At 38.9% G+C, this 15064-nt stretch overlaps 1 annotated feature.

Annotated features, from left to right (window-relative positions):
• Positions 6275-6569: an enhancer, noted in NCBI's record as "tiled region #11207; HepG2 Activating DNase matched - State 9:DNaseU". NCBI's record gives its function as "activates a minimal TATA promoter and a strong SV40 promoter by Sharpr-MPRA in HepG2 cells {active_cell/tissue: HepG2}" and the evidence as "EXISTENCE:reporter gene assay evidence [ECO:0000049][PMID:27701403]".

Below are 15064 nucleotides of genomic sequence, written 5' to 3' on the forward strand. Positions count from 1 at the left end.
GGATGTATGTAAAACACTGTATTCTGTGGTACCATTCAGCAGAAGCTTAACAACTACTAGCTCCCTTTACCCCATGACATCATGTCTAGGTATAAAGATTTGATTATCACTAAACATGTTGGAAGAAAAGGTTTTGATTATGGACACAGACTTCAGGGAATTGATAATATCTGATTTATGTTCTCTGTGGTTATAAGCTACAGGTGGAGTCCAGCACTCAATTTGCAGAACTTCCTCATTATAACAACCTTTTGGGTTGTATACCACTTGTCACATCACACTTGCTCAAATACTTGATAGTCGCGACTGACCAAATTACACAGATGTTGCCCTTTTTCCCTAGAAATTTTGCTGCAATAGTTAGGTACCTTAAAAACACACAGTCTTCAGCAAACTAACACAAGAACAGAAAACCAAACACCACATGTTCTCACTCATAAGTGGGAGTTGAACAGTGAGAACACATGGACACAGGGAGGGGAACATCACACACCGGGGCCTGTCGGGGGATGGGGAGCTAGGGGAGGGATAGCATTAGGAGAAATACCTAATGTAGATGACAGGTTGATGGATGCAGCAAACCACCATGACACGTGTATACCTACGTAACAAACCTGAGAGTTCTGCACATGTACCCCAGAACTTAAAGTATAATAAAAAAAAAATACACAGTCTTGTTGGGAGGTGATACAAAGCAGAAATTTCTGCTACTGGCCGGGTGTGGTGGCTCATGCCTGTAATCCCAGCACTTTGGGAGGCCAAGGCAGGCGGATCACGAGGTCAGGAGATCGAGACCATCCTGGCTAACATAGTGAAACCCCGTCTCTACTAAAAATACAAAAAATTATCCAGGAGTGGTGGCGGGCGCCTGTAGTCCCAGCTACTCAGGAGGCTGAGGCAGGAGAATGGCATGAACCCGGGAGGCGGAGCTGGCAGTGAGCCGAGATAGTGCCACTGCACTCCAGCCAGGGTGACAGAGTGAGACTCTGTCTCAAAAAAAGAAAAAAAAAAAGTCTGCTACTGCAATATAAAATAACACTTTCCCTCTATTCGTATGCCTGCAGTAACCACATCAGAGACCATATGCAGTTACATTATTGTAACTGGGGTATTTGTGTTCAATGTGTTTGAGCTGCTAAATTTCCCATGTGAGGTGACTAAAATGTGCATATTTTACTCTTTTACTCTTGACCAATAAGAGCCAAATTCCCACTGGGTAGTAGAAACAAGCATGTTTGTCTTTTTGTTTCAAACACCTACACACACACACACACACACACACACACACACACACACAGTCTTGGAAAAATTAGATATCAATATGCAAAAAAAAATGAATCTCATCCCACACTGCACATTTTATACAAAATATTAATTCAAAACATATCATAGATATAAGTATAAAATGTAAAACTATAAAACTTCAGAAGAAAACATGGAGAAAATTTTTGCAATGCTGAATTAGGCAAAGATTTCTTAGATCTGACCCCAAAAGCATGAAATAGAAAAGAAAGTAATAATAACTTGGACTTAATCAAAATTAAAAATATTTCACTCTACAAAAGACACTATTAAGAAAGAAAAACCTTGAACTAGCAGAAAATGTTTGCAAATTACATATCTGATAAAAGGCTTGTATTCAGAACATGTTAAACCCTTAAAACTCAAGCATAATAAATGAAAAAAGTAAGAACATCTTTTTGTACTAACAAAGATGCAACGTAACTGAACTCTGGTGACAATGGAAATGGTGCAGACACTTTGGAAAACAGTTTAGCTGTTTCTTAGAAAGTTAAACATACATTCATAGGAATTTCCTAAGAGGAAAAACAACAACTATTCACCCACAGTGAAATTCCATTTTTGCAACATTCTAAAAAAGGCAAAACTCAGGGATGAAAAACAAATCAGTGGCTGCCAGAGTTTGTGGGAGAGGAGAAGAACTGCACACAAGTGTGTGGCACAGAGGAGTTCTGGATGATGATGAAACTATTCTTTATTTTGCTTGTAGTGGTAAACAGATGATTTCATGCATTTGCTGAAAGTAATAGAACTTTGTGCAACACAAAGAATAAATTTCACCATATGTAATTTTAAAATTAATCTTTAAAAAACATAAGCACAATAACAATAAAAATTATTATCTTTACAAATGATATAACTGCATACATACTAATAAAATACCCAAGAGAATCTCCAGAAAGAGTATTAAAAATAGAGTTTAACAAGTTAGATAAATCAATCCATATATAAAAATCAACTGTACTTCCCTACACCAAGAGGTGTTACTGCTAGAAAACATAAATTAAAAAGTAGACCAGTAGAGAGAAAATTGGTTTATAAAAAGGCATTCAATATGGAAAAATAAATATAAATAAATGGAGAAACCTACCAAGTTTGTGACAAGTGTGATGGTCAGTTTTATGTGCCAAATTGTGTCAGTTATTTCATCAAATATTATTCTAGGTGTTGCTGTTACCAGTGGAGGGTGTCCAGGTGAGAGGTGACAGCATGCTGGCAGCCCTCAGCCCTCGCTCGCTCTCCGTGCCTCCTCGGCCTTGGCGCCCACTCTGGCCGCGCTTGAGGAGCCCTTCAGCCCGCCGCTGCACTGTGGGAGCCGCTTCCTGGGCTGGCCCAGGCCGGAGCCGGCTCCCTCAGCTTGCCGGGAGGTGTGGAGGGAGAGGTGCGGGCCAGAACCGGGGCTGCACGGGCCGCTTGCAGGCCAGCGTGAGTTCCGGGTGGGCGTGGGCTCTGCCACCCCGCACTCGCAGCGGCCAGTCGGCCCCGCCACCCAGGCAGTGAGGGGCTTAGCGCCTAGGCCAGCAGCTGCTGTGCTCCACTTCCCGCCCGGCCTTAGCTGCCTCCCCGCAGGGCAGAGCTCCGGACCTGCAGCCGCCATGCCTGAGCCTCCCCCCTGCCGTGGGCTCCTGCGCGGGCCCAGCCTCCCCGACGAGCGCCACCCCCTGCTCCACAGCGCCCAGTCCCATCACCACCCAAGGGCAGAGGAGTGCCGGCCCACAGCGCAGGACTGGCAGGCAGCTCCACGGGCGGCCCACTGCAGGATCCACTGGGTGAAGCCAGCTGGGCTCCTCAGTCTGGTGGGGACTTGGAGAACCTTTATGTCTAGCTAAGGGATTGTAAATACACCAATCAGCACTCTGTATCTAGCTCAAGGTTTGTAAACACACCAATCAGCACCCTGTGTCCAGCAAACACACCAATCAGCACCCTGTGTCTAGCGAACACACCAATCAGCACCCTGTGTCTAGCTCAGGGTTTGTGAATGCACCAATCGACACTCTGTATCTAGCTACTCTGGTGGGGACTTGGAAAACCTTTGTGTCCACACTCTGTATCTAGCTAATCTAGTGGGGAGGTGGAGAACTTTTGTGTCTAGCTCAGGGATTGTAAATGCGCCAATCAGCACCCTGTCAAAAACGGACCAATCAGCTCTCTGTAAAATGGGCCAATCGGCTCTCTGTAAAATGGACCAATCAGCAGGTTGTGGGTGGGGCCAGATAAGAAAATAAAAGCAGGCTGCCCTACCCAGCCAGCTATGGCAACCAGCTGGGGTCCCCTTCCATACTGTGGAAGTTTTGCTGTTTCGCTCTTTGCAGTAAATCTTGCTACTGCACGCTCTTTGGGTCCACACTGCCTTTATGAGCTGTAACACTCACCACAAAGGTATGCAGCTTCACTCCTGAAGCCAGCGAGACCACTAAACCCACCGGGAGGAATGAACAACTCCAGACGCGCCGCCTTAAGAGCTGTGATACTCACCAGGAAGGTCTGCAGCTTCACTCATGAGCCAGCGAGACCACGAACCCACCAAAAGGAAGAAACTCCGAACACATCTCAACATCAGAAGGAACAAACTCCGGACACGCCACCTTTAAGAACTGTAACACTCACCGTGAGGGTTCGCAGCTTCATTCTTGAAGTCAGGGAGACGAAGAACCCACCAATTCTGGACACACGTGTTGCTGGTGTTTTGAACAAAGAATTGGACAAAACACACAAAGCAAGGAAAGAATGAAGGAATGAAGCAACAAAAGCAGAGATTTATTGAAAACGAAAGTGTAGTTCACAGGGTGGGAGTAGCTGGAGCAGTGGCTAAGGGGCCCCCTTACAGAATTTTTTGGGTCCAAATACCCCTTAGAGGTTTCCCGTTGACCACTTGGTTTTCATCCCATATCAATGAAGTGGTGGCCCACGATCAGTTTGGTTGCAGAAAGCAACCAATTAGAGGGTGAAGTTATAAATTTACACTCCTATGCAAATGTCTCATTGGTTGTACCAATCAGATGTACTTTCAATTTCCCATCAGAAAAGGTGGGAGTTTGCAAAGGGAGTAGTGGCCTCTGGTCCTTTTGTTACTTACGTGTAGAAAGTTAGGGTTTGCCTTTCAATTTAGTTCTCGGAAGTAAGTGTGAAATGGCCTTAGGTTCCCTGTCTCCAGACCCTATTCTCCTGCCTCATTGCTATAAAGGTATTTTTGTAAAGTCTAAATTCAGTTGACTTTAAATAAGGGAGATTATCCTACATAACCTTGGTGGGCATGATTCAATCAGTTATAAGGCCTTAACAGCAAAGCTGAAACTTCCTTGAAGTAGAAATTCCATATACGGACAATAGTTTCAGCATGTCCCAGAAGTTCCAGCCTGTTCTTCCTGACAGCATGTCCTAGATAGCCCCACAGTCATGTAAGCCAATTCCTTGCCATAAATCTCTTGACAGATATCTCCTGCTGGCTCTGTTTGTTTTGTTGTTGTTTTTTTTTTTTCTCTGATTGAATGCTGGCTGCTACAAAGAAGGCTGAAGTTTACAAAGCATTAATTTTCTTCAAAATTATTTTTGGAATGAGTACATTTTAATTAAATCCCAACTTTTTTCAAGTTACTTGAAAAACTCATACTAAAAATTTTGTAGAATAACAGAAGCTCAAGAATTGCCAAGATGTTCCTGAGGAATATGCACAAAATGGGAGTTTTGCCCTAGTGGATATCAACACTTATTACAAAGGACAATTACAACAATGTGTTATTAAAGTAGGGAATTTCGAAAGAAACTTTGACCCAATGCAACAGAATAGACAGCCCAGAAACAGGCTCCTAGATGTAAGAAAATGTAGTTTATGGCAGAAGTGGCATTGCAGAGTGCTGTGAAAAAGAATTAGCTACTGCACAAAACAGACTCTCTCAGACTGAGAGACAAAATACTGAGTGAAAATGTCAAGCATTATACAAATGTGTATAGGATTATATGATTTTTATAAAACCCAAAACAAGAAAGCAAAATATCTTGTTTAGAGACATACTCTTTTGTTGCAAAACTTTAAAAAAAAAAGGGAATAAATGAAATACACACAACTCAGGATAGTGGTCAAAGGCAGCAAAAAGATACATTCAGCAGTACTGATAATGCCCTTGTTCAAAACTTGGATGGTGATGGGGGAAATATCCAAAATGTTTAACCAATGGTGGGACATAATCCCAAAGTAATTAGAACAGAAAGAGCCAGAAATGACCTCAACAGCCACTAAGGTGAACACCTACTCACCGTCAGCCCAGGTAGGCATGTTCCCAGCTGCAGTCTATTATGCTTCATAATATACAAAAGTTTTACACATTTCAGTAGATCTTAAATAATATATAATAAAAATTATACATAGACAAATGAATTAGTCAATTCACAGAGGACAACTTTAAAAATCATTTAAATGCAACATTATTGTGGATTCAGAATGCATGAAGAAATTCAGGAAAACAGTTCTTTATCCACTGCCAGAAAAACTTTGTTAGCATTGTTTTGCAAGGCCCCATGAAAATAAAATACAATTTTTTCTCTCTAAAATGAACAATACAGAAATAATCTCTGTGTGATTTCATAGAGTATACTAAAATTTCAAACTTTGTTGTCTTTGAAACTCCATGACTCTGTGATTGACAATGTGAACAGAGAAGAAAAAAATATGCAAATTTAATATATTATTTCCAAAAATGGTGGCAAAGAATAAAATATACTAAACAGGTATTTCCACAGGATCTGTCAAAATTTCAAATGAAAATGACCTCCTGCAAGCAATGGTCCTATGATTTCCCTAGTCTTCATGACCTATACCCAAAGGAACAAAACTAAGGGTAGTCCTGTCAGATTATAATCATGCCTCCCTTTTCATTAAAGTATTCCTAGCACTTGAACAGTGATTTATTTATAGTAGATCTTCAATAAATATTTTTAAATTAATAAACAATGTCTCCATAACAGCTCTTCATAAATAAAAATACTATGTTTAATCAGGGCAGCCACAAGATCAACAAAGAGGTGCTATGAGGATAAATCTCTATGTTAGTTTCCCTGTGGCTCCTCAGTGCCTCTCCTAGAGAGGTCAGACAACATGCTCATATTTAGTTCTGTTACAGAAAAGATCAAAGGTCAAGGCTAAATGGGGAGACAGAAAACGTGTGCTGAATGTACACCACAAGCACAATCACTGTGGCTATTGTTCATGGGGTCACCAAAGAGCCAGAACCTACAGACTTGCCTCTCATCTCTAGGCCTTCCAGAGAGTCATGATTTCACAACTTTACTAAAAATTGGTTCCATCTTTGAACTCCAAAATGCATTTTACTAAACTCATTAATGTCTAACATAGAGAAGTTCAAATTCTCATAAAACATACTCTCCTTCCCTAACTGCACCCACACACCATAGTTGGATGTGATGCACATACACAAAAGAAGTTCAAATATATAGTATATAATGATATCTTACAGAAAAAATGGAAAGTTCAAATATACCAATGTCCATAAAAGAAAATTTAAAACCATCCTTAAGGACGCTAACGATGACCCTGACAATGAAGAAGGCAACGAGCACATAGGCAGTACAATATTCATAGGGAAACCTCATAGCTTCAAATGGTAAAAGTAAGGCAAAAAAAAAAAAACCAGGAAGCAAAGTGGTTGAGAAAAACAAGAGGAAGAAAACATAGGCATTGCAAAGAAGCATTATTAGAGTGTGGAAAAAAATGACAGAAAAAAAGGTTCTGAAACTAATTCAGATACTTGTAATATCAATGAAATAAATATCTATAACATCTTAAAGTTCAAAATGTTTTATGTGTATTATTTTATCTTTATAGATATTTATATTATGTTGTTCTGCTCTTACTTTACAGATAGGAAACTTGGGGTTTGAAATTCAGCCAAGATCTTCCAGAAAACTAAACAATCAGGAGAAAAATTCAATATTCAGCTTGATATTTCTTCTACTGTACACCATCCTGACTCTTTTTAAAGAAGCCCAAAAATTGAATAAAAATGATACTAAATCAATCAAGTCAAAAATAATTCAGTCATTTAATGAATAATTTGTAGATGGCTCCATCTCATCTATTCAAGGATTTTGCTTTTTACTGAATCAAATGGTGATGACTATTGCACCTTTAAAGAATACAGAGCAATCAAGTGATTTAGCCAACTGGAGTGAATTAAATTTTAAAAATGATGACTTTCCAAGTGGTTCAGTGGTAAAAAATTTCAAACTACTTAATCTAATTCAAAATAAAACAATATCTTGTGGGTGCTTTATAAATATGACTGCTCTTATAGTTTTAAGATATTTTTAGAATTATTCCTGAAACCATTCACTTTGTGACCCTCCTTTCCTAATGTTTACCTTCTGTTTTCAATTCTTTTAATGCAAAATACTTATTAATGCCCCAGGTGGCCTATATTAATTAAGGATATGATGTGTCTTGGGAAAAGAACAGTTCTCTCCTATATATGTATATATATATATATATATATATATATATATATATATATATATGAATGAGATTATTATATATAGGAGAGATTATTATGTATAATTATGCATTATATACAATTATATAATCATATATTTAATTAATATAATTATATATAAAATTATGGCCTCAGCAGGTGTTAGCAGAAAGAACACCATATATATATATATGATCATATATATATAATTATGGTTGTCTGTTAGTCACCTTAAATAAAAGAAGGCTGTTTTATTCTTTCTTTTTCTTTTTAATTCAACCAAGAAAGAAAATTCTATAAATATAGAAGGAATAAGGAAGGTTGTTCAGGTCACATAATGGATGGACAGGCTCAAGAGGGAATGAGTCTTAGAATAATGTTTGGCATTAGTAACATAAATAAAAATTGAACCCACTCAAAAACCTTAAAAGGTAGTCCATTATATCTCTTAGCCTTAATTTGAGTTGTAAAAAATAACATTACAATTTATAAGTGTACACATTGATAAGTGAAATTGAATTTTGCATTGTCTCTCAGGTTTTCCACATTAGCATGAGAACATATATTTCAGTTGCTAGGTGCCCATGGGGCCACTGTACCAAAGGAGGTCACTGTCTCCTGTGCATAAATTCATCCCTGTGCATTTATGAATGATTTGGAGCTTCCCCTTTTTCAGTGTGGGGTGGGGGAGCTTATTAATCATTTTCCAAACCACTAATGGACAGACAAGCACATTGCCAGCTGCTAGAAAATGGTAGCAGCAGCAGAATGTAAAGCACCTTTGACATGAATATGGAAGCCAGCCAGGGCTAGGAGCCACGGAAGAAAGAACATATCTTCAGTGACTTTGTCAATCAGTGGGATTAAAAGGTCAACATATGTCAATAAAGAAAATGTAAAAATAATTTTTCTTTGCTCTGATGATAGCCTTCAGACCGCTTAAGAATATCACTAACGACAGCTCCAGTCTCCAGCAATGGAACAAAGCTGGATGGAGAATGATTTTGACGAGCTGAGAGAGGAAGGCTTCAGACAATCAAATTACTCTGAGCTACGGGAGGACATTCAAACCAAAGGCAAAGAAGTTGAAAACTTTGAAAAAAATTTAGAAGAATGTATAACTAGAATAACCAATACAGAGAAGTGCTTAAAGGAGCTGATGGAGCTGAAAACCAAGGCTCGAGAACTACGTGAAGAATGCAGAAGCCTCAGGAGCCGATGCGATCAACTGGAAGAAAGGGTATCAGCAATGGAAGATGAAATGAATGGAATGAAATTAAGTGAGAAGGGAAGGTTAGAGAAAAAAGAATAAAAAGAAATGAGCAAAGCCTCCAAGAAATATGGGACTATGTGAAAAGACCTAATCTACGTCTGATTGGTGTACCTGAAAGTGATGCGGAGAATGGAACCAAGTTGGAAAACACTCTGCAGGATATTATCCAGGAGAACTTCCCCAATCTAGCAAGGCAGGCCAACGTTCAGATTCAGGAAATACAGAGAACGCCACAAAGATACTCCTCGAGAAGAGCAACTCCAAGACACATAATTGTCAGATTCACCAAAGTTGAAATGAAGGAAAAAATGTTAAGGGCAGCCAGAGAGAAAGGTCGGGTTACCCTCAAAGGGAAGCCCATCAGACTAACAGCGGATCTCTCGGCAGAAACCCTACAAGCCAGAAGAGAGTGGGGGCCAATATTCAACATTCTTAAAGAAAAGAATTTTCAACGCAGAATTTCATATCCAGCCAAACTAAGCTTCATAAGTGAAGGAGAAATAAAATACTTTACAGACAAGCAAATGCTGAGAGATTTTTGTCACCACCAGGCCTGCCCTAAAAGAGCTCCTGAAGGAAGTGCTAAACATGGAAAGGAACAACCGGTACCAGCCGCTGCAAAATCATGCCAAAATGTAAAGACCATCGAGACTAGGAAGAAACTGCATCAACTAACGAGCAAAATCACCAGCTAACATCATAATGACAGGATCAAATTCACACATAACAATATTAACTTTAAGTGTAAATGGACTAAATGCTCCAATTAAAAGACACAGACTGGCAAGTTGGATAAAGAGTCAAGACCCATCAGTGTGCTGTATTCAGGAAACCCATCTCACGTGCAGAGACACACATAGGCTCAAAATAAAAGGATGGAGGAAGATCTACCAAGCAAATGGAAAACAAAAAAAGGCAGGGGTTGCAATCCTAGTCTCTGATAAAACAGACTTTAAACCAACAAAGATCAAAAGAGACAAAGAAGGCCATTACATAATGGTAAAGGGATCAATTCAACAAGAGGAGCTAACTATCCTAAATATATATGCACCCAATACAGGAGCACCCAGATTCATAAAGCAAGTCCTGAGTGACCTACAAAGAGACTTAGACTCCCACACATTAATAATGGGAGACTTTAACACCCCACTGTCAACATTAGACAGATCAACGAGACAGAAAGTCAACAAGGATACCCAGGAATTGAACTCAGCTCTGCACCAAGTGGACCTAATAGACATCTACAGAACTCTCCACCCCAAATCAACAGAATATACATTGTTTTCAGCACCACACCACACCTATTCCAAAATTGACCACATACTTGGAAGTAAAGCTCTCCTCAGCAAATGTAAAAGAACAGAAATTATTACAAACTATCTCTCAGACCACAGTGCAATCAAACTAGAACTCAGGATTAAGAATCTCACTCAAAGCCGCTCAACTACATGGAAACTGAACAACCTGCTCCTGAATGACTACTGGGTACATAACGAAATGAAGGCAGAAATAAAGATGTTCTTTGAAACCAACGAGAACAAAGACACAACATACCAGAATCTCTGGGACGCATTCAAAGCAGTGTGTAGAGGGAAATTTATAGCACTAAATGCCCACAAGAGAAAGCAGGAAAGATCCAAAATTGACACCCTAACATCACAATTAAAAGAACTAGAAAAGCAAGAGCAAACACATTCAAAAGCTAGCAGAAGGCAAGAAATAACTAAAATCAGAGCAGAACTGAAGGAAATAGAGACACAAAAAACCCTTCAAAAAATCAATGAATCCAGGAGCTGGTTTTTTGAAAGGATCAACAAAATTGATAGAACACTAGCAAGACTAATAAAGAAAAAAAGAGAGAAGAATCAAATAGACACAATAAAAAATGATAAAGGGGATATCACCACCAATCCCACAGAAATACAAACTACCATCAGAGAATACTACAAACACCTCTACGCAAATAAACTAGAAAATCTAGAAGAAATGGATACATTCCTCGACACATACACTCTCCCAAGACTAAACCAGGAAGAAGTTGAATCTCTGAATAGACCAATAACAGGAGCTGAAATTGGGGCAATAATCAATAGTTTACCAACCAAAAAGAGTCCAGGACCAGATGGATTCACAGCCGAATTCTACCAGAGGTACAAGGAGGAACTGGTACCATTCCTTCTGAAACTATTCCAATCAATAGAAAAAGAGGGAATCCTCCCTAACTCATTTTATGAGGCCAGCATCATTCTGATACCAAAGCCGGGCAGAGACACAACCAAAAAAGAGAATTTTAGACCAATATCCTTGATGAACATTGATGCAAAAATCCTCAATAAAATACTGGCAAACCGAATCCAGCAGCACATCAAAAAGCTTATCCACCATGATCAAGTGGGCTTCATCCCTGGGATGCAAGGCTGGTTCAATATACGCAAATCAATAAATGTAATCCAGCATATAAACAGAGCCAAAGACAAAAACCACATGATTATCTCAATAGATGCAGAAAAAGCCTTTGACAAAATTCAACAACCCTTCATGCTAAAAACTCTCAATAAATTAGGTATTGATGGGACGTATTTCAAAATAATAAGAGCTGTCTATGACAGACCCACAGACAATATCATACTGAATGGGCAAAAACTGGAAGCATTCCCTTTGAAAACTGGCACAAGACAGGGATGCCCTCTCTCACCGCTCCTATTCAACATAGTGTTGGAAGTTCTGGCCAGGGCAATCAGGCAGGAGAAGGAAATAAAGGCTATTCAATTAGGAAAAGAGGAAGTCAAATTGTCCCTGTTTGCAGACGACATGATTGTTTATCTAGAAAACCCCATCGTCTCAGCCCAAAATCTCCTTAAGCTGATAAGCAACTTCAGCAAAGTCTCAGGATACAAAATCAATGTACAAAAATCACAAGCATTCTTATACACCAACAACAGACAAACAGAGAGCCAAATCATGAGTGAACTCCCATTCACAATTGCTTCAAAGAGAATAAAATACCTAGGAATCCAACTTACAAGGGATGTGAAGGACCTCTTCAAGGAGAACTACAAACCACTGCTCAAGGAAATAAAAGAGGATACAAACAAATGGAAGAACATTCCATGCTCATGGGTAGGAAGAATCAATATCGTGAAAATGGCCATACTGCCCAAGGTAATTTACAGATTCAATGCCATCCCCATCAAGCTACCAATGACTTTCTTCACAGAATTGGAAAAAACTACTTTAAAGTTCATATGGAACCAAAAAAGAGCCCGCATCGCCAAGTCAATCCTAAGCCAAAAGAACAAAGCTGGAGGCATCACACTACCTGACTTCAAACTATACTACAAGGCTACAGTAACCAAAACAGCATGGTACTGGTACCAAAACAGAGATATAGATCAATGGAACAGAACAGAGCCCTCAGAAATAACGCCGCATACCTACAACTATCTGATCTTTGACAAACCTGAGAAAAACAAGCAATGGGGAAAGGATTCCCTATTTAATAAATGGTGCTGGGAAAACTGGCTAGCCATATGGAGAAAGCTGAAACTGGATCCCTTCCTTACACCTTATACAAAAATCAATTCAAGATGGATTAAAGATTTAAACATTAGACTTAAAGCCATAAAAACCCTAGAAGAAAACCTAGGCATTACCATTCAGGACATAGGCGTGGGCAAGGACTTCATGTCCAAAACACCAAAAGCAATGGCAACCAAAGCCAAAATTGACAAATGGGATCTAATTAAACTAAAGAGCTTCTGCACAGCAAAAGAAACTACCATCAGAGTGAACAGGCAATCTACAACATGGGAGAAAATTTTCGCAACCTACTCATCTGACAAAGGGCTAATATCCAGAATCTACAATGAACTCAAACAAATTTACAAGAAAAAAACAAACAACCCCATCAAAAAGTGGGCGAGGGACATGAACAGACACTTCTCAAAAGAAGACATCTATGCAGCCAAAAAACACATGAAAAAATGCTCATCATCACTGGCCATCAGAGAAATGCAAATCAAAACCACTATGAGATATCATCTCACACCAGTTAGAATGGCAATCATTAAAAAGTCAGGAAACAACAGGTGCTGGAGAGGATGTGGAGAAATAGGAACACTTTTACACTGTTGTTGGGACTGTAAACTAGTTCAACCATTGTGGAAGTCAGTGTGGCGATTCCTCAGGGATCTAGAACTAGAAATACCATTTGACCCAGCCATCCCATTACTGGGTATATACCCAAAGGACTATAAATCATGCTGCTATAAAGACACATGCACACGTATGTTTATTGCGGCACTATTCACAATAGCAAAGACTTGGAACCAACCCAAATGTCCAACAATGATAGACTGGATTAAGAAAATGTGGCACATATACACCATGGAATACTATGCAGCCATAAAAAAGGATGAGTTCGTGTCCTTTGTAGGGACATGGATGAAATTGGAAACCATCATTCTCAGTAAACTATCACAAGAACAAAAAACCAAACACTGCATATTCTCACTCATAGGTGGGAATTGAACAATGAGATCACATGGACACAGGAAGGGGAATATCACACTCTGGGGACTGTGGTGGGGAGGGGGGAGGGGGGAGGGATGGCATTGGGAGATATACCTAATGCTAGATGACGAGTTAGTGGGTGCAGCGCACCAGCATGGCACATGTATACATATGTAACTAACCTGCACTATGTGCACATGTACCCTAAAACTTAAAGTATAATTAAAAATATATATATAATAATAATAGTAATAATAATAATAAATAAATAAATAAATATGTAAAAAAATAAATAAATAAATGCCAAAGTGTAATGAAATTAAAAAAAAAAAAAAAGAATATCACTAACGACACAAGGAACTTTTCACCCCCGAGTAATCTCAATGGATTTAATGCATAAACACCTATGATCAGCAATTGCTTGTAAATTTCATCAGACTTGTTTTCCAAGGATGGTAACCAGTAAATTTCAAAAAATTGGTTCAAAAGTACGAAAGAAGGCTTTAAAAACAGGATCAAAATTGTCATTTCATTTTATTTCATACAAAAAACTCAGGCGATGTTAGCAAAAATAACACCAGCCTAGAATCAAGGGATCTGACTTTTATCCCCATCCTAGGATTGACAAGATGGGTAACCTTCATCATTAACTTCATCTCTTTAAATCTCACACGTGAAATGAGAAGTTGACATATATTTAAGGTCATTTCTAATCTTAAAATATTGAGACCAGAATTTTCTTCATTTTAACTTCAGCATTGCCAAACATATATATTTATCTACCACACAATGTGGCAATCCCAACAAAAATAAATATGAAACTTTCAGAATTCAGGACTGTATTTCTATCAGTTTGAAACCAAAATAAACATTTTGCACTCTTCGCCAACCGTCTCCGCTCCTTTGTCTGTATACATATTCCTCGCACCTTGCATCTCTCGCCAAAATGTTTTCATCTCAACTCTCCTCCCAAGTCTTGCTTATTTTGCAAACCCAAATAAACCATAGTTTCTAAGAAGCCCTCTCCAGCAAATCATACTAATACCCCTTTTCTTGTCAAATTCTATGTCTCTTATAATCAATAGCCACATCACTTTATTTTATCGTTAATTTTTTAATGCCTGGTATGTCTTCCATGAGTAGGTTGCAAACTTCTTCTGCAACAAAGACCGCTAAGACTTTTCTGAACCCCATGTAATACCTGGCAAAGTGCCCATGTATTAGCCTTCCATAAACGTACTATTAACTAATGAGTAGTTCAGCTTATGGATGTCAGAAACAATTACCATATATTTACCTCATAAAAACTCTACATCACTTAACAATTTCAACCCAATTGACCCTTTTCCAAACTTTAACATCTATGATATGCTTTTATAAACTTATTTCCTTTAGCCACATGACTTTAAAAGCATATGAAACAAGATGAAGCACAACATCCGAGTAACTTTCTGACTGGTGTCAAGATAGATTGTTTTCAGGCCCATCTCTT

Source organism: Homo sapiens, chromosome 6 (assembly GCF_000001405.40).
Source record: "Homo sapiens chromosome 6, GRCh38.p14 Primary Assembly".
NCBI classification, from domain to species: Eukaryota; Metazoa; Chordata; class Mammalia; order Primates; family Hominidae; genus Homo; species Homo sapiens.